Genomic DNA, 19,941 nt, shown 5'->3' on the forward strand with positions numbered 1-19,941 from the left:
TCGAATTTCCCCTTTTTTTTTTATAAAGACACCCGTCATATGGGATGAGAGACCACTCAAATGACCTCGTTTTAACCTGATTACCTTAGTAAGGACCTGATCTCCAAAAAAGTTCACATTCTGAATTATTAGGGGTTAGGACTTCAACCTACCAATTTTGAGGGGGACAGAATTCAACCCAAAACAAGGACATTAAATGCCTCCTGCGTGCTGCTAAGGTTAGGATCTGTTCTAAGCTGCTAACCAGGTTTAAGATCTTCTTCTAAGGAAGATCCTATTCTTCCTTAGAACAGCCAGCACTTGAAGCCACTGCTGATAACACTGGACTGTCAGGAATGAGATTCAGTTCTGAGAACTTTGGCTCAAACAAATTGTTTCCTTTTTCCCTTTTTCAAGAAGTGCAGAGGTGGAAGTCCTGGAAGAAATTCAATTAAACTTTGGGACCCCCTCCCAAGTTTTAGCCAGTTTATTTTATATTTTGCATTTTTTTCCTCAAAGAAGGCCTTCCACAGTGAAAAAGCCTCAGGCCCCACAAAACCTGGATCCATCTGACAAAGCAGGTCCAGGGGAGGTGGGGCCAGGGGAGAGCCCTCAGGGACCCAGTCTCCTTCCCGTTCTTCTTTGGAGATCTCTAGTAGGTGACTTCAATCATTAGGGTGCTACATCATGATTCTGTTCCCATATAAACAGTTTCCCCCAAAGCCCCGTGCAAGCTTGTATTTAGATCTCACTGTCAGAACTGGGACACGTGGCTTTCCCTAGCTGCAAGGGAGCCAGGGACAGGAGCTAAAAGTTGGACTTGTTGCCTCCCTGAACAAAATGGTAGATAATTAGCAGTGTCTGCCATGGCACTCCACATCTCTAGTGTCTGGTCCCTGCCTACTTCCCATTTATATCTGCTCATTCCTGAGCAGTGCAGAAGCCATCCTAGAGAAAGATGTGGACTGTGGCTGGGACCTGAAGCAAGGATAACGTGGGAACAGCCAGAGACAATGGGAAGGGCATTTCAGGTGGAGGGAAGAGCAGGAACAGGCACAGAGGTGGAGAGAATGGGTCAGGGAGGGGAGTGGGAAAGGGTTTGTTGTAGTTCCTGCACAGGGTCATGAGATAGAGGGACAAACCAGGAAGGCCTTTTCTTTTCCAGAAACTTAATTCATCAGTAATAGGAACAGCAGACTCGGGGCTTCCCAGAGCGAGCTTGACTGAACTCTGATTCCACAGCTTGCCGATAAACTACCTTTTGCCACATGACTGGGCCTGACAACTTGTTTACTCTCTGTTATTCATTGTACACACCAGATGGAAAACATGCCCAGCCTCATTCACTATTAAATTCCTCCTGAAGGTACTTACTTGAGAGAAAGCAAATATTCTAGGCCAGGTGTGGTGGCTCATGCTGGTAATCCCAGCACTTTGGGAGGCCAAGTGGGGTAATCGTTTGGGCTGGGAGTTCAAGACCAGCCTGGCCAACAAGGTGAAACCCTGTCTCTATTAAAAATACAAAAATTAGCCAGGTGTGGTGGTGCATGCCTGTAGTCTCAGCTACTCAAGTGGCTGAGGCATGCTTGAGCCAGGTAGGCAGAGGTTACAATGAGCTGAGATCAGGCTGCTGTACTCTAACCTGGGTGAAAGAGTGAGACTCTATCTTAAAAAAAATTCTAAAGGAATACTGTCTCTATTGAGTTTAATATTCTGTACCCTTCCCTTCCCTTTCTCTCTCTGTCTGCATACACACACACACACAAACACGCACACACACACACACACAAACACAGGATGCCTTTACCAGCCTGCAGACTCCTTACCCCAGACAGCTTTCTTGGAGCTGAACCGTCAGCAGAAAGGCTGCAGAAATTGTGGTCAGTTAGCATAGACCTCGGACACAACCAGCAAGCCGGGAATGGGACATGGCCTCACATCAGTGTGGACAGAGGTGTCCCTGGCTGGCCCATCAGCCTGCAGCCATTTCCCCATCCAGGTCAAGGGCAGGCCAGAGTGAGGCAGGGTCAGCCAGGCAGTGTCAGAAGACAGCAGAAAGGATTCTGGTCATCTCTTCCCTGTGGCTGATCGCAGCCTGAGGTGAACAGAGGAGGCAAGACACACAGAAAAGGAGAGCGCTGAGCTGGAGGCGCATGTGGAGGCACCTGTTCTGGGGCCCCTAGGCCGTGTCGAATGCTGGAAGCCCAGGGTGGAAACAGCCCCTTGGTCCACATTCCCCACTGGGGGCTGAGACATCATGCACCTTGGGTGCAGTTGGAAAGTCTCCCAGGAAGTGGCTAAAGGCAGAGGCAGGTGCTGAGAGGGTTCTCTCTTTCTCCTTTTTTAGAGCTGTCTGTGAGTTGGACAGTTCCCAAGAGGAGCATTACAAAGCTTTTCCCCCAAGTAGGCTGCTATGATGAGCTATGAATCCACATGCTGAATTCCAAGGAATGCCGGGGTGCCAGTGGGGCTGAAGGGGATAACACTCCCCCTTTTTGGTATTCCTTTTCTGGGACAGCCAAGCTTCCAGGAGCCTATGCTGCTCATGCATGAACAGGTTCAAGGGAGTGGAGGCGAATCTGAGCCCTGGGCAAAAGGGCTTCTCATAATAATTAATGCGGTAGTTTTTGCAGTCTTCGTGCAAGGTAAAACCACCCTTTGGAAGAACATCACTGGCAAAGGTGGCCGTGACCATAATAGATCTCAAGATGTTCTTCCTGACTGTGTTCTTCGAAATGCCCATATTCCAGGGTCAACGCTGCTCATATGCTCACCAGCCCAAGAAGCACTTGCCTACTCACGTGGGAGGCTGTACAGCATGAAAGTTATGGCCTGGGTTCAAATCCTGACTGCTACTCTTTGACCCCAGACTATTTGTTTACCTCTCTGTGCTTTGGTTTCCTCATCTGTAAAACAAGAGTAACAATAGTGCTGACATCACAGGATGTTGTGCTGATCAAAGGAAATAATCCATTTAACACACTTAGCATACCATCTAGCACATGATAGATCCTCAAAAAAAATTGCTGCTATTTTTGTTAATATCTTAGAGATATTGAGAGATGTCCTGGATAATGGGAATTATTTTCCCCTATAAAAGACTGTCAATTATACAATCCTGCCAAGGGTCATCCCTTCCTGCTCCTCAGAGCACTATCTCCCAACTCAAAGGGTTCTTCCTGTTGTCTTGAATGCCTTCATTAACATGCACCTGGAACATCAACAGTTTTCAGCATTAAGGAAATGTGAGTATGTTTCTTTAATATGGAGACCCAAAAAGCTGAGAGCAAAGACTTAGCCAGCAAATGCACAGAAAATGACACACAAATGACTTTGCTTAAATATAAAGAGATGCTCAACCTTATGAATAAGAAAAGAGAAAAGTACACCTTAAATCATACTAGATCTCATCTTTTACCTTCTAGGTAAGCAGGACTCAAAAAGGCTGGAGACAACCTAAATGTCTGTTTAGTGCTGGTTAGTCCATTATTAGGGGACTGCGTAAGTTTATTATGGGTCACATAGACCATGAAGAAGAATGAGAGAAACAACACCTGGGGTATTTTCTTAACAAATCAAGTGCAGGACTGTGAGTTTCATATGCGACAATACAGGTGAAAGAGGAGGAGGAGGAGTGTGTTTACAAATGCAGCTGAATATGTCTAGAATATCTCTGCAATATGCCCCCAAATCAACTAGGAGTGGCCACTGCCCCTGGGGAGGGGAGCCACAACCAGGATGGTCTGCATATGCTTTGGTATCTCCTAGGTTTTTCCTTTGAAAACTTTTATCCTATTGCCTTGGGTGGTGGGATAAGAGCTATTTAAATATGTTAATCCATAGCAGTAGAATAATAGAATAAGTGCAGAGCCTGATTTCAAAATCTGAAATCCTGGGTTTCTTTGGCCAGCAAAATAAATATGACACAAAAGCCTATTCATGTACATCAAAATCAAGTCTGTGCCAAAACTCTACTTGCTTAACATAAAGTCTGGCAGGGGAGATGCAGAAATCCCTTGCCTGAAGATCAGATGGAAATTTCTAGTTTAAACTCCCAGTCATTGTGAAGCCAACTTTCAAACTCACTTGGGGCTGGAGGGTAACACAAGATCTCAAGTGTTTTCCAAATCCAAGCAGGATCCAAGCTGGGAGATCCACCGTGGAAGAGAAGAACCACCAAACCTCCAGGTTAGTCTTGAGGATCCACTGGTCCTCCCACCACACCCAATGGGATGGCTGTTTTGAGCCCCCCTCACTTGTGAAAGATTGTGTTGTCAGTCTTAGCTAACAGCCTTAGTTGACAGAGCAAGCCCTGTTGTCCAACTGGCCTCCCCTTCTCAGGTTTCTACATCTCCTCTCCTACCCTAGCCCTGCATGGGCAGGGGTCATCCAGCCTCAAGACCAACAGAGCCAGACACTCACACAGCCAGGCCTTGGGAACACCTGGGGTGAGCTCCAGAACAGGGTCCTGCCGCTGCTCCCCAGCCCAGTGCTGGGGTCACTTTCCTCCAGTAAGATCCTATTAAAAAAAAATTAGACAAAAATGTAACACAGTTTATTTGAGTAGTAAAGGATTCATGGATCGGGCAGCACAAAAAACCAAAAGAGGTTCAGAGAACTCTGCTCCAGCAGCACAGGCAGCAAGCTTTTATGGGCTGAATGTGGAAGTAAAGAAAAGAAATTACTTAAATGACTACAGCTGTGTGTTTGCCTTATTTGCATATGCTCTGATGGTAGGTAAGTCCCTAGTTAGAGGTTGGTTGGTGGTGACTGATGAGTTAAGTTTTGTTTTACTGTTTCCATCAGGCTTCAGTTGCTTACATATTATAGGAACCCACAGGACTGCAGCCAGTTCAACCTAAGGCCTCCCAGTTAAATTTTTAACAGTCCCAAAAAGTGGAACCCTTGAAGCCCATAAAAGCTGGGGATAGAGAGAGGAGGGGGGACAGAGAGACTCAAAGCTGGTGTGCCCCCAGGGAATAGTTTACCTTCGTGTATGTGTGGATTTACGTTTCTCAGACAGTTTGGTCTTCAGAGCAAAGACCCAGAGATCCAGGGTCACATTTGGCCACTGCAGGACTTTCCCCAATGGATCAACCCAAAGGATGTTGCTTTCCTCTGACTTGGCAACTACTAGGGCTGAAGGCAGGTTGAAAAGGAGCCATAGAGGATGCAAAGGGTTCCAGGCTTGACCAAGAGAATACAGGTGGATAAGAGGATGTGCAGCTGAAGAAGCCAGTGGTTTCTGCAGGATGGAAGGTGGGTGGGACGTGGGACACGGGGGTGGTGGTCAAGCCCAGGCATGCTGGGTTAAGGTACTAGGCATGTTAGGATGATCAGGGGAAGATATTCAGCAAGAATCAGAAAAGTAGAAGGCAGCTGCCCAGCAGCCACCTTGACTGGTGTGGACTGAGCTCTGGGAGGAGTGACTGTGTGGCCACCTCTGGCACGGTGCACTGGGACAGAGCAGGGCCCCAAGGGTGATCCCCTCCTCAGTCTGCCTCTCCCTGCCTTCCTTCTACCTGGATCACCCCAAAACAAGGAGCAGGAGGTAGAAGCAGAGAAGCCTGAGCCTGAATCCCACATGGCCACTGCTGGCCTCTCTGAGGCTCAGTTTCTGTGCTCATACAATCGGCGTAAAACACCTTCCCCCAGAAGAGTGTGAGAGTTAAACCAGACGATGTATTTCAAAGCATAGTGCCCAGCACTTAATAACAGCTTCACAAAGATTTAATTATTATTCAATCATTAGCTGCTGCATAGTGGTTAAGAGGAAGAATTCTGGAGCCAGACAGTGTGGGCTCAAATCCTCTAGGAGTCGATCTCAGTTTTCATGGCTCTGTGTCTCAGTCTCCACATCTGTAAAATGGGGTAGTTGTGAGGATTAAATGAGCGACTACATGACAGAAATTCAGGGCAGTGCCTCTACATGAGTGCCACCTAAGTGTGAGGTAGTGTTACCAAACTGTGCTTTCACTCCTGAGAAGTCAGTCAGACAAGGGCTTTAGTGAGAAGAGGTCACCTCCCACCATCTCAATATAAAAAACGGTATGATGGCCAAGCCTGTGGTTCCAGTTACTTTGAAGGCTGAGGCGAAAAGATTGCTTGAGCACAGGAGTTCAAAACTAGCCAGGGCCATATAGAGAACCCATTTCTAAAAAATAATATAATTTTTCAATGTTAAAAAGATAATATGGCCTTCCTTTTCTCTCTCACCAGTTTTTAAATGAAATTGGGCTGTTTGGCTAAAGGCCCTACTTTTCCTTCCCTTCCTCTTCGTGGGAACATCCGAGTGTGTCCTTGGCTCAGTGGGGACATGGCCAGGCCCCCAGCAGCCTGCTTCCTCCAGACTGGATTTCTGTTTATCAGACATTTTGTTCTTCAGAGCAAAGACCCAGAGATCCAGGGTCACATTTGGCCACTGCAGGATTTTAGAAGGAACGTTCAAGCAAGACCTAACGTTGAGCCATCACAGAACATCCTCAATGCAGGCCCTGAAAGGCCCTGGCACTTTGCGATCAGGGAAGCCTGCCCATCCCAGCACTCGGGGAGCTTGCTGTCCAGAACAGGGGCCTTTTAGGGAGAAAATAAAAGCACCAACGTTTATCCCCAAACATAGCCATGCCATGTGAGAATCAATCTGCCCAGATAGGAGGGGGTCAAAATTCAGAAACACAGCCTCTGAAAAGCTGCCTGGCCATCTGTGGGGAAGAAATCAGAACAGACAGAACAGTCTGGGATAGGGGAGGAGAGAAGGAGCCTCATTATCTGCTGATCAAAGGGCAGAGGTAGAGAAAGAGCAGTGAAAACATCTCAGAGTGGAGAAGAAAGGGCTGCTGGGAGGACTCCGTGTGTGTCTTGCCTTTGGGGAGGGCAGAGTTACCCTGACAACCCCACGGGACAGCAGGGATGAAGTCAGGGGAAAGGGGATGTCAGGTTTGTTAATAACAAGCCCTCAACACTGAAGCCACATCTGAGTGAGGTGGAGAGAAGGCATGTCCTGGGATGAGGTGGAAACAGCATGCCCTAAGCCCTGGACACTGGCTTCGAAATTCCTGGGCTCATCTTCTTGGCCCCTCGGGGGCCTAATCCCGAAACACTGTGACAAATCGGCTCTAAACTCCAAGGCATTCCAGCCAAATCTAATCCACACGGAATGTCTGCTGTGCAGCTGAGCCACAGCACACGAGGTTTGGGGATTTAATGACTGGTGTCACGAGGCCCCATCATGTGTGCTGCCCCTCTGAAGAGGCCCAACTCCAAATGCTGGGGATTTGAGGGAAAGAAATAAATTAGGATCAGAGTCTTGGGCAGGTAAAGGGCTGTCAGGCCAAGATTGTAAATACACCCCCTGCAGGCTGGCCACATTAAAAGGAGAAGACACTGCACAAGTTTTTCAGAAACTACAGAGGATGACAGCCTCAAGTGTTTGGAGCAGGAAGAAGGATGACTTTGTTCTACTGTGGTCTGTCCATATTTCACGGCCATATTTACCATGAGGCCAGTGTCTCTGGTTCTCAGAATGCCTGGCTGCACCCCCTCCCTCCCCGTGCTGGTCCAGCCTCAGTGCACCCGGCAGCCTCTTCCGCACCACTCAATATCTGGTCTGTTCTTCATACGGGGCCCCCATCCTGCCTCTGTGTGCCTTTGCCCCTGTACTTCCTTCTACCTGGGGGTCACTTCCCCTCCCCCAGAGATACCCACATTTCCCCACTTAGACCCTTCCTTGGTGTTGAGAGAACTGGACGAAATAGTATATGCAAGGTGCCCAATGGGGGATGGAAATGGCGACTCAGAAAGCCCGGGGGTGCTCCCCCGCACCAGGATTACTGCCAGGAGAGGGAGGGGGGAGGCTCAGGGCGGAGTGTGCCTGAGATTTATGGGAAAGTACATCAGACTTCTTAAAAAGCAGCTGAAAATGCCCCAGCTCGAGAGCAGGAAAGGGAACCCCCAGTCCAGGGGAAAGGGGGAGCTGGGGGCCAAGAAGGGGCCAAGCTCTGAGACTGACAATAGGTTTCCCTCCACAGACTGGGCGGCTGTCCCAGGCTCTCAAGCACAGAGAAACACAGCGAAGCTGAAGTTGAAGAAGTAGCTACAGTTTCCGGGCCTCAAACAATGGCAATTAAAAACAAAAAAACTTTTTATTTGAAAATAATTATAGATTCACAGGAAGTGGCAAAAACAGTGCAGACTGGCCCCGTGTACCCTTTGCCTAGTTTCCCCCGACGTTTACATCTTACGTCACGAAAGTACAACATCAAAACCAGGAAACTGACGTTGGGACAATCCGCAGACCTTATTCAGATTTCAGCAATGGCGTTTTAGTCACCCGAAAGGGCTCTCAAACACGATATGACCAGGAATCCCAGCTGTGCTCTCCAGAAGGATCCGCCACGCTTGCCAATCCACACCACGGCGGTTCCGAAAGCTGCCTCCCCTCTGCCATCCATTCCTAAGGCAAGTGGGAAGAAACGTCACCTCCCGCTCCACAATTTCTCAGGGAAGCCGAGGAGGCCAGCGTGACGGGGGAGCAGAGTGGACATCCCAGGACACAGCTGCGCCTGCCTGCTCTTTCCCTGTGCTCTGGCGGCCTGTCCTGGGCCTTACACCAACGCGATGAACAGGGGAAACGGGGTGCTGAGCCTCTGCGTGAAAGGGGGCTTGTTTAGTCTCCTACCTGCCCGCTTAGAAAATGTTCTCAAAGGTCAGGCACGGTGGTTCATGCCTGTAATCCCAGCACTTTGGGAGGCCAAGGCGGCTGGATTGCTTGAGGCTAGGAGTTCGAGAGCAGCCTGGCCAACATGGCAAAACCCCGTCTCTACTAAAAAAAACAAAAAAATTAGCCGGGCACGGCGGCACATGCCCGAGATCCCAGCTATTCGGGAGGCTGAGACACGAGAATCGCTTGAACCCGGGAGATGGAGGTTTTGGGGAAAAAAAGAAAATGTCCTCAGAGTCTGCCCTGCCATCACCTTGAGAGTGACCTGTGCCCCAGTTTTCTCATCTGTGTAGTGGGGTTAAGAACAGAACCCACCTCGTAGGTTGATTAGGCAGGTTCAGTAGGGTGATATTTGTAAAGAGCTTGGAACATGCCAGGTGCATAATAACTGTACATATGTGTTTGATAAATTAATCAAAATAAAATACAATATCTGTAAACGATTTCACAGGAGAGCAAAGCTAGTGCTAAGGCTTTTCCAAATAGCCTGGAGTGTGTGAGGCTTTTGGAAGCATGGAGGTCTTTGACAGAGCATTTAATTTATATGGGGGACGCTTTTTGCGTGCAAAATTGATTTGATATGCAAATAAACTGGAGTTGATTGAAGATTATTAACCACATGCTCTGAATAGTGGTTGTGTTTGAGAAAAAAACATCAGTCCTCCCTCCCAAGGGCCTTGTTAATAAGTCAGGTTTTTCTCCCCGGTCCCTGCCCTCCTCCCTTGCTGGTTTCTCAACACCTAACCATGCCAGGTCTATAAAGTAATTGCAGGTATATTTGCAAGGCCGGGGCTGGATTTGAATGTACGTTCAACACTCCCTCATTTCATTTTTAGAAATTCTGCAGGGTCTGAAAAGGACACAGGCAGAACGTTACTGAGGCTTCTAACAATGAAATGAGGAGGCCTTTCAGTGGTCATGGTGCGACAATCGGCCAGAACTCTGACCCCAGGGCAGGAGGTGCCCTAGGGGCACATTTAATGGTTGAGGCTTGCTGGAAAGGCCCGCACTGCCCTCTCAGCTGGGCTACACTCTCCCTGGGGCCATTCAGGGAAAGTCAGAAATCTCTTTCTCCCCAGACCGCAGCAGCTGGGCCAGAGAAATGGGAGGTTAAACAGATTACAGGCTCAACAGCAGGGAGCTCCTAATGGACCCTATTCAAGGGGACATGAGGCCCTAGGATTTTGTACTTTATTATGGTGATCGAAAAGGAACGCTGAACTTTTTTTTTTTTTTTTTTTTTTTGTGGTAAGATGTCTATAACACAAAATGTAGCACTTTAACCATTTTTGGGTGTACATTTCAGTGGCATTAAGTACATTCATAATGTTGTGCAACCATCACCACTATCTCTTTCCAAAAATCTTTTCATCACCCCAAACGGAAAGTCTGTATCCATTAAGCAATATCTGTCCATTCCTCCCTTCCCCGCAGCCTCTGGTAAACTATAATCTGTGTTCTATCTCCGTGAATATGTCTACTCTAGATGTTTCATATAAGTGGAATCTTACAATATTTGTCATTTTGTGGTTGGTTTATTTCACTTCGCATAATATTTTTAAGACTCATCGGTGTTATCACACGTATCAGAATTTCCTCCCTTTTTAAGACTGAATAATCCTTTGTAGGGGTATGTCACATATCTGATGAAGAATTGAAAGCAAGCACTCAGACGTGTACTTGTACACCAAGTACGTGTCTTGGTTACTGCAAATAGTGCTGGTATGAGTGCTGGTGCACAAGTACTTGTCTGAGTCCTTGCCTCCAATTCTTCATTGTATATGCCTGTGAGTAGAGTTGCTGGATCACATGGTAAGGAAAGCTACAAGTTTGCACTAAAGCTTTGCTTTCCTGGCTAAGGCCAGTTCTAGCCCACCTGACAGGAGCCACGCGAGCCACACATCACATGGCCCATGTTTCCAGAACTCAGTCACGTGCATAGTAATTTGCACCTTTGTTGTAATGGCACATACCTTCTGCCTTAACAGCAGGATCAATGAGAAAACTGAACAAGGTGAGGCAGGAAGTGAGGATGCACATCTCCACATGGGAAGCCTCAGGTACCAGGACCTTGCACAAAAGTGGGGACAGAAGGGTCCCCTGGTGGAGAGTGACTCATGTACTCCTTAGAAGGTACTGACATTTGTTTTTAAATGGTTATTATCCTGCCAGCACTGCCTGGCTTTTTTTCCCCATTGAGGTTTAGGACAGGTTTTTGAAACTTCATTCATTCATACACCATTTCATCACGTAGGCTGAGGAGTCACCCTCTGTCTGTCACTGAGCACAATCACTCCGGCACTTCCTGGACAGGGCATTCTTCCAGGTATTTGGAGATAATCCCATTGCCTTCACTTGCACCATGAAGATTAAAATAGTTAATTGATTGCAGCTAGAACACAGCCTGCACATCAATGCTCAGTGAATGCTCCTATTGTGGGGATGAATATTATTTAAGGGATACAAACAGAAGGCCAGAGCTCTGTTTTCATGCAGCTCACAGTCTAGGAGAGCTTGTTTCTGGCCCAGAGTTGAAGAATGTTTCAGGAATCACAGGAGATGTGACATTTGTGCTGGATCTGGAACATGGGTGGGATCTGGTGGGCATAGATGGAGATGAAGCCCGGCTGCAGGGAGTCGAGGAGTCCTGGGGCTGGAGCTGGGGAAGGTGCATGCGTCTGAGTGGCCGGAAACTTGTCAGAAAGGAAGATTCCCTGGGTTCACCCCCAGAGGGTCCCATTCAGGTGTGGAGTGGAGCCAGGAACGTACAATTCTAAGCAGTTCTTCAGGGGACCCTGGTGCAGGGGGTGCTCGGATGAGATTTGGGGGTTGCTTGCCAGGTTGGAGGAGGTAGAGTTAGGAAGAATCAAGCTCAGATGAGTCAAGGCTTCATATGGTCTTGAATCAGAGTGAAGGTGGGAATGGGAACAGAAGCGCCAGAGAGAGAAAATAACTTCAACCCCCAAACTTAGGATGATTATTGAGCCATAAAAAGGAACGATGTATTGATACATACTACAACACAGATACACTTTGCAAACATTATGCTAAGTGAAAAAGCCCATCACAAAAGGCCATATATTGTATAATTCTGTTTATATAAACTATCCAGAGCATGGAAATTCATAGAGACAGAAAGCTGATTAGTGGTTGCCAGGAGGCGGGGGAAAGGAAAATAGGGCATGACCAGTTAGTTAATGAGAACCACGTTTCTTTGGGGGATGATTAAAATATTCTGGAAGTAGGCCGGGAGTGGTGGTTCACACCAGTAATCCCAGCACTTTGGGAGGCTGAGGCGGGCAGATCACTAGAGGCCAGGAGTTCAAGAGCAGCCTGGCCAACATGGTGAAAACCCGTCTCTACTAAACATACAAAAATTAGCCGGTCATGGTGGTGGGTGCCTGTAATCCTGGCTACTTGGGAGGCTGAAGTGGGAAAATCTCTTGAATCTGGGAAGCATAGGCTGCAATGAGCTGAGATCGTGCCACTGCACTCCAGCCTGGGTGACAGAGCAAGCGAGATGCTGTGTGTTTGTGTGTATATATATATTCTGGAAGTAGGTAGCGGCGATGGCTGTACAACATTGTGAATGTACCAAATGCTGCTGAATTGTTCCATTTAAAATGGTTAAAATGATAAATTTTGTAGCATATGTATTATTCTACAATTTTAAACATGCTATCTGAGCAGATACACTGATTCACTTTATGAGTAAAATCTGACTTTTCCTTCATTCTACCATGGAAAATGTAGTCAGTGGTCCCAACCAAAGAGTGCTGCGGTGTGTTTTAAGTACATTATTTTGAAGGTAGTTGCTCAGGACCTCTGCAGGAGACTTCTGCCAAAAATTCAAGAGAAATCATGCCCAATGTGTAAAAGATATGCAGAATGCATAACCATGCACACATGAGATGTACACAGTCTCTCTCTTCCCTAGCAGACAGAGTTGTCTTGAGGGAGGTCCGGCATCAAAGCCGTTTCCCTCTCTTGTTTTTACTGGCATGAGAGAGCAGGAGGTGGAAAGGAAGAACAGCAGGCTTTGGGGGACCCTCCGAGCAGAGCCAGTGCTCTGATTTGCAGCAAAGAAGAGAAGAGAATCCTGGGTGATGGAGGCCAGCCCAGATGCCTCCAGGATGTGGCTTAGGGAGCTTGGTCTTGCCACTGGCCCCTCAATCTCAGGGACTCACGCTCCCTTTTCTCTGAAGGGAGCACAGCAAAGGAATCCATCCCAAACCAAGATGCAAGGCTGAGGAAAGCAAGCTAACAGCCTGGCTTCTCCCTCAGCTCCAGCCCTCATGGCAGATGCTCAACTGCCCCGGGAGCTGGCCAAGACAAACAGCTCAGGGGACTTTCAAAGCAGCCTCTAAAAGCCATGTGCACACAGCACCAGGTTCCTGCGCCTACCCGAAGGTGTGATAACTCTACCCACCACCTGGCTAGATGCCAGTCCCCCACTCCGACTCCCGTTTCCAGAGGTGGGCTTCTCCACGAAGGAATACGATCAGGAATATTAGTTTAGCTGCTGGGGCTAGAATGCTAGAAAGCTTGGGTGGCTAGAAAGAATCGGTGTGTTTTCTTTTTCTTTCCGCTTTGTAGGATGCAAGCTCTGATGAAAGGGGGAACTTTGATCCTGCTCTCACTCAGCCATCCACAGGGAAGGAAAAGCCAAGGAGACACCTAGAGCCAGTAAAGCCGGAGCCTGCCATGGGTGGAACAGAGTCAGCAGAATGCAGGCTCCTCTGGAAGTGGAAAGAGATTGTTGCCTGGGGCTTACTGAACCCTCCAGAAGGTTCCATTTTAAGAACCATCATGCCTTCAGGTTCTGCTTTGGCCCCAGAAGCCCAGAGAAACCCTGGCTGTGCAGTCTTCATTTCAGAGGTTCTCGAGCACTACTAAAATGGCTTGGTTTGACCCACATTTATTGAGTCATTCAGTGTTCACTGAGTGTGTTCTCTGTGTGTAGAGCTTGTTCCTGTGTAGAGGAGGTCCAAACCCAGCACCAGGTCCAGTTCCCCATGAATAGAAGATACTAAATAAGTGTCTGTTGAACACACAAATGAATGAATGAATGAATGGATGAATGAGAGAAACTTTGTCTTCAAGAAATTCACAATCCATTTCGGATGGCCAGACATACACATGAAAGGTTCGTTGCATGAAATATTGTGAAAAGGAGTTTATGGTGAAGAGTCAAAGTCCATATGGATGGCACAAGCTTGTGCAAAAGAGTGATGCTGTTGGTTGACCGAAGAAAAGCTTAGTGAGAGGATTTAACCTTAAAGGACTTGGAAGATGGAATGTGGGGAAGGGATGAGAGAAGGCAGAGGAGAATGCAAACAAGCAGGGCATGTTGGGGAGATAAGAGTGGCACAGTCTGGAGGAGCAGGTGGGGAGAAGAACCACGAGAGATGGCATTAGGAGGACAGCCAGGGCAAGAGAACACAGTGTTCTATCAGTAGGAGACACTTGAAAGGCTTTGGGGTATGCTACAAGACATGCAAAATAGATTTTATGTAGATTATGCTAATGTAATATACAAGATAGACTGGAAAGAGAAAGAAATGGAAGGGAGGAAGCCAGTTGAGGTGACAGTGATGAACTTTGGGCAGGTCTCAGACTCCTTTGAGAACTATAAGCCCTCTCCTCACCAAAATAAATCTATACACACACAAAAGTGTGCATATGATCTCAAGGGGTGTTTTGCAGCCCTAAACCCTATTTATAGACTTCCTAGGATCCTGGCTTCCCTGGGTAAGTACCTCTCTGTGGGAGAATTGCACTTTTCAGAATGCCTCCCTATGTGCCAAGCTGGATTCTTTATAGAGAGTTTTGAGAATGATTTTACATGAGGATTGAAAGAGGCAGAGCAGATACTAAGGCTTTATTTATGCTGAGGGGCTAAGCACAGGATGCTCAGAGAATAATCCACGGCGGGAGCAGTCACCTCAACCGTCAGTGCCTACGAGCAAGGTTGGGGTCCAAACCAGAAACATCACATCATAGCTGGAAACTGAACATACCAAGGGCTCCTCTACCATCAGCCTGAAACCCAGCATGGAGCAACACACTCAGTGACATTGGGTAAAAATATATCACTTTAGTAAAAAGGAGGACGTGATAAGAGTTATGCATTTTAAAAGGCAAAATATTTTCTTTTTGGTATTCCATAAATATCACTCTAGGTAAATACTTTGTCTCAAATGGGATACATGGTTTTTTTTTTTGGCGGGGGAGGGGTACAGGGGTGGTTTTGGTTTTTTTCCTGAATAGCCAAAAAAATCTCTATAGACTTTTGGTTGTGGTTTAACGTGTACTCCCATGTCACAGATGGCACTGGGGAGAATAGTGTAGTATGTGGTGTGCCAAGACACTAATTAGTATGTAAGGATTTACTTGAAAAAGACATGAAATAGTTCATATGTAAACCCACAAAAAATGGGTGAGAAAAGACCAATAAAGTAGAGTTATATACATACAAACACACAGATACAAAGATCAAATGAATCGTGTGCTTGCTTTTTTATTTGATTTTTCCCTTTTTCTTCTGTTTCAGAGGCTTGGGGGCATATCACCTCAGAGAGAAAGAGAAACTCCTACGGGGTTTGAATCGATCATCAAGAAGCTATTTTAGTTTCATCTACTATGAAAGCCTGTGGGGTCTCACCCCTTCTGGATTGCTGAGGAAGGTTGTTCTGAACACGCCGGGGAGTGAGAGAGAGTGAATAGGCAGGAGAACGTCAGGATCTCCAGACTTTTAGACAAGGAGGCCCTGGGGCACAAAAAATAGTCCGAATGCATAAGACCTAGTATTTGCTAGCACAACAGGGTGACTCCCCTCAAAAATGATTGAATCGTACATTTAAAAATCGCTAAAGAGTATAACTGGATTGTTTGCAACACAAATGATAAATGCTTGAGGGGATGGATACTCCATTTACTCTGCTGTGATTATCATGCACTGCACGCCTGTATCAAAATATCTCATAAAACCCATAAATATATCCACCTACTATGTACTCACAAAAATTAAAAATAAAAAATTATATTAAAAAAAGAAGAAAAGGAGGCTCTGACCAGCTGTCTATCGCCTCTCAGGAAATCCAGACAACACTTCAAGAAGAAGAAGCTGTAAAGACAATTTTTAAGAGAAAATCCTTTTCCATAGAGTATTCACAAACTAGGTTTCCACAGCTAGTTTCATGGCAGTACCAGATGCCTTTTCATACAAATGCTTCAGCCAGCAAAACCTTGCGTAAGAGAAGGGGCAGGAGGCCTTTGAAGTTGGTTGTGTTTTTTTGGGTGGCTTGGATTTTTCTGGGTGACTGATTTTCGCATATCCATCTTCTGGTTCTAACTTGGCCTCTACCAAGCCAGTGATTTAGGCTCTACCTTGTTGCTCATTAACTAGGAGGAATGCCTACGGGGCTTAGGTGCTTTCAAGAAAGTTGCCATTGTAACAAACTGATTGATGGTCCTGCTTTTACAGCTCCAACTTGGTTCCATTTGCCCAAAGAAATAGAGGTCGCTCTTATGTACAATGCACTGATTAATCATGGATCCCAAGTGAGAGACAAAAGAATGGGACACCCAGCCACCAAGAGGGTTTCTTCTTTCCCTCCCAGCTCTGGAGCAAAGTCCTAGATAAAACATGGGTAAGGAACCTGAGTTCTTTAGAGGCAGTCTCTAAAGAGAGAAGTCTTTCATTCATGCGTATTTGTATCCAGGCTGTGAGCTGAGAACTCTGTCAATGGTCTTTGCAGATGCAATTCCACGTGGGAGCATCGCTAAAGGATTTTAGAGAGAAGCCACGGGCGATAATATAGAAATCCACACTCTAAAGCAATCGACTGATACAACTGACAGGTAGATAGCATTTAGTTATTACTGGGACGGCTTAAATTTAATACATTCTTCCAGAAAAAAATGAAATATGCTTCTCACCAACAGGAGGAAGTCACTTTACACTTGCTCATCAATATTTTCTTCTTACATTGCCTGATTCCCAATACTTCATCTGTTAAATGTCTTAACTAGCATTTGCAAAGGAAGAAATGAACATGACTTGCTTCTGAGAAAGGAGAGGAGCAAATTCTTTCATAAGCTTTACAGGTCGCTTCTGGGTAAAAATAAAAAGTCCAAGCATAGAAATCAGGTGAGAATCTGGTCAGCCAGGCATGCTGTGTCTATGCGGGGGCTGGCTGAGGTTGCATAACAGAGGGCTATGCGGGACTGATCTTGCTCCCCACTGCTGCTGATGCTCTTTTTTCCATAACTAAAAGGGCTTTTTGAATCTTTCAAAGACATCTTAAGGAGTCTTGCTTACTCCTTTATTCTAACCAAGGGAGCTGAGAAGAAAAATTTCTTCTACTTCTTCCTATTATTTTTTCTAGAGGCAGAGTCTAACTCTGTCGCCCAGGCTGGAATGCAGTGGCACAGTCATAGCTCACTGCAGCCTCAACCTCCTGGGCTCAAGGGATCCTCCCACCTCAGCCTCCTGAGTAGGTGGGACTTCAGGTGTGCATCGCCACGCCTGGCTAATTTTTAAATTTTTTTTATAGACAGGGTCTCACTATGTTGCCCAGGCTTGCCCTCAAGCAGTCCTCCCATCTTAGCCCTCCAAAGTGCTAGGATTACAAACATGAGCCACAGCGCCCAACCTCTATTATTATTATTAAACATCAAGATTTTAAACCTTTGCATTGGCAAGAGTATGGGCCATTTTCTACCTTTATTTATTGGCATTATTAGAAATAGCCTTCGCTTTTGCTTCTTAATCATTAATTTCAATTTTTTTGTTGTTGTTTTTGTTGAGATGGAGTTTCACTCTTGTTGCCCAGGCTGGAGTGCAGTGGCACAATCTCGGCTCACTGCAACCTCCACCTCCCGGGTTCAAGTGATTCTCCTGCCTCAGCCTCCTGAGTAGCTGGGATTACAGGCACCCACTACCACGCCCAGCTAATTTTTGTATTTTTAGTAGAGATGGGGTTTCACCATGTTGGCCAGGCTGGTCTTGAACTCCTGACCTCAGGTGATCCACCCGCCTTAGCCTCCCAAAGTGCTGGGATTACAGGCATGAGCCACTGCACCTGGCCAATTTTAATTTTTTTTAATGAAAAAATGTGGATATTTTAAAAAAAACACAGCATCAATCCCAACCTCGAACCCTAAAGGCAAAACAATCCCACATACAAAACCAATTCTGCCGCAATCACAGTCTCCTACAAGCCCACTTTCCTGTGTGGCACATCCATTGAGGACGGCACTGTTTATCACAGCCTTTAACGCCAGGTATGAAAATCTTGAACAATCGCCTTCGCAGGTGAGCATAAAAACTGCCTGAGCTTGCCACATGTGGACGGGGAAACCAGCACACTGCCAGGTTACTCCTGGAGGGCATTAAATTGCAGAGACGAGTACAAAGGAAGCTTTGCTCAGAGTACAGACCCCAATCTGCTTGTGTTATGTTCTATGCTGTGGACCCTTTACTATTTTTGATTTTTAAAATAAATAGCCCTGAGGGAAAAGCTGGCTTTACATCAACACACAGAAATTTAATTTTAACTTTCATGAATACAGCTATTAACAAACGGTCCCTTTCGGGCAGGAAGGGCTTCTACCAGCAGAGACCTTGTCTGTGACTTCAGCTCATGAGTTTCCAGAACAGTTCGCTGTGTGTGTCTGAGTGTGTGTTTTTTAAAAAGAAAACAACCGTGTACAACATAGCGCCTTTTCTCTCTCTCTCTCATTCGAAAAATTCTTTCCAGCTTACTTAAGATGATAGGAAATCGTATCGCCTTTAAAAAGGGAACTACTGAACCAGAAACTTCCAGTGCTCCAAAATAGAAAAGCATATGGCTACCAACTTGGTGGGGGACATTCCCAGACCATTGCATTGAACATAGACTCCTGATTAGGGAGTGACAGGCCGTAAGGGCAAACTGCAAAAAGATGGTTATAATACTGGCTCCGTGCATGCAGCGGTCACAGGGCACAGCCACAGTGTCGACCAAATGAAACAATGACCAAGAGGGGAGTTTGGGTGGAAGAGCAGTTAATCAGGCTGGTTTGAGTGGACTCAGCAGCATCAATAGCTGGCATGTCAGAAAGGGTACGAGACGCTTTTAAGGAAGCCTGCGCAGTGGAGAGAGCTTCCTCCTTCTCAAAGATATTTTTCCACAACTTTCTCCTACTTTCCATTTTTAAAAAATTTCCTGAGTGGCAGAAAGGAATTTCTCTTTATGTCTTTGATGGGCTTCTACTTTATCAAAAATATTGTTTTTCTACAAAAGGCCGATCTCTTGTGCTGGATCCTACACACTGCCATCCCACCCCTCATTAGACTAGGGGAGTTGTGTCTACTCCAATATCGAAAGTCTTAGGTTTAATTGAAACCTTTGAAAGAATGTGCCCTGAATGGGTTTCAAATTTGGCTCAACCAACAAAGTATTTGCTATAGAATACTTGGATGTGGGGCAGGGTGCAGTGGCTCAAGCCTGTAATCCCAGCACTTTGGGAAGCCAAGGCAGGTGGATCTCTTGAGCCCAGGAGTTCAAGACCAGCCTGGGTAACATAGCGAAACCCTGTCTCTACAAAAAAAATACAAAAAAAAAAAAAAAAAAAGAATAGCCAGGCATTGTGCCGCACACCTGTAGTCCCAGCTACTCAGGAGGCTGAGGCGGGAGGATCACTTGAGCCCAGGAGGTCCGGGCTGCAGTGAGCTATGATCACACCACTGCACTCCAGCCTAAGTGACAGAGTGAGACCTTGTCTCTTAACAAAACACAACAAAACAAAAAAATACTTGAATGTGATCAACACAGGCCCAACAAGAGAGAAGAGACGTCCTTGGCTCCTGCAGTTCATACAATGTACACCACCTGTTCTCCCCTAGAGCCCACCAGCATGGGCAGAAAGCCCTAGCTAGCTAAGCCAAGGACTAGGAATATCACCACTTCCGGTCTCATCCGTGGTCTTTCCTTATGAGCTTGGACAGGTTAATTGACGTCTTTGAGTTCTGATTTAACTTTGCTGCAAAATGCAGACTTCAGAAGTTTCTCTCATGAGTTGAGCTGAGAATGGTATGATTATAATGCAAATATAACACTTCCTTGTAAATGAGAACTTGTGAGAATAATTTCATTGTTTCCAAGACTACTTTGCTTCAACCTGCCTCCCCTCTCCTCCATCTTAGCAGAAAGCCCCAATTCTACCTCAGGATCAGAATGGACTTCCTTTTTCCTTCT

The 19,941-nt window shown here is 46.3% G+C and overlaps 1 annotated feature.

Moving 5' to 3' along the window:
* Nucleotides 8,117-9,059: an enhancer, noted in NCBI's record as "H3K4me1 hESC enhancer chr10:123441905-123442847 (GRCh37/hg19 assembly coordinates)". NCBI's record gives its function as "activates a minimal SCP1, AML or CMV promoter by ChIP-STARR-seq in primed H9 embryonic stem cells {active_cell/tissue: H9 hESC(primed)}" and the evidence as "EXISTENCE:reporter gene assay evidence [ECO:0000049][PMID:30033119]".

This window comes from Homo sapiens, chromosome 10, assembly GCF_000001405.40.
Source record: "Homo sapiens chromosome 10, GRCh38.p14 Primary Assembly".
Taxonomy (NCBI): Eukaryota; Metazoa; Chordata; class Mammalia; order Primates; family Hominidae; genus Homo; species Homo sapiens.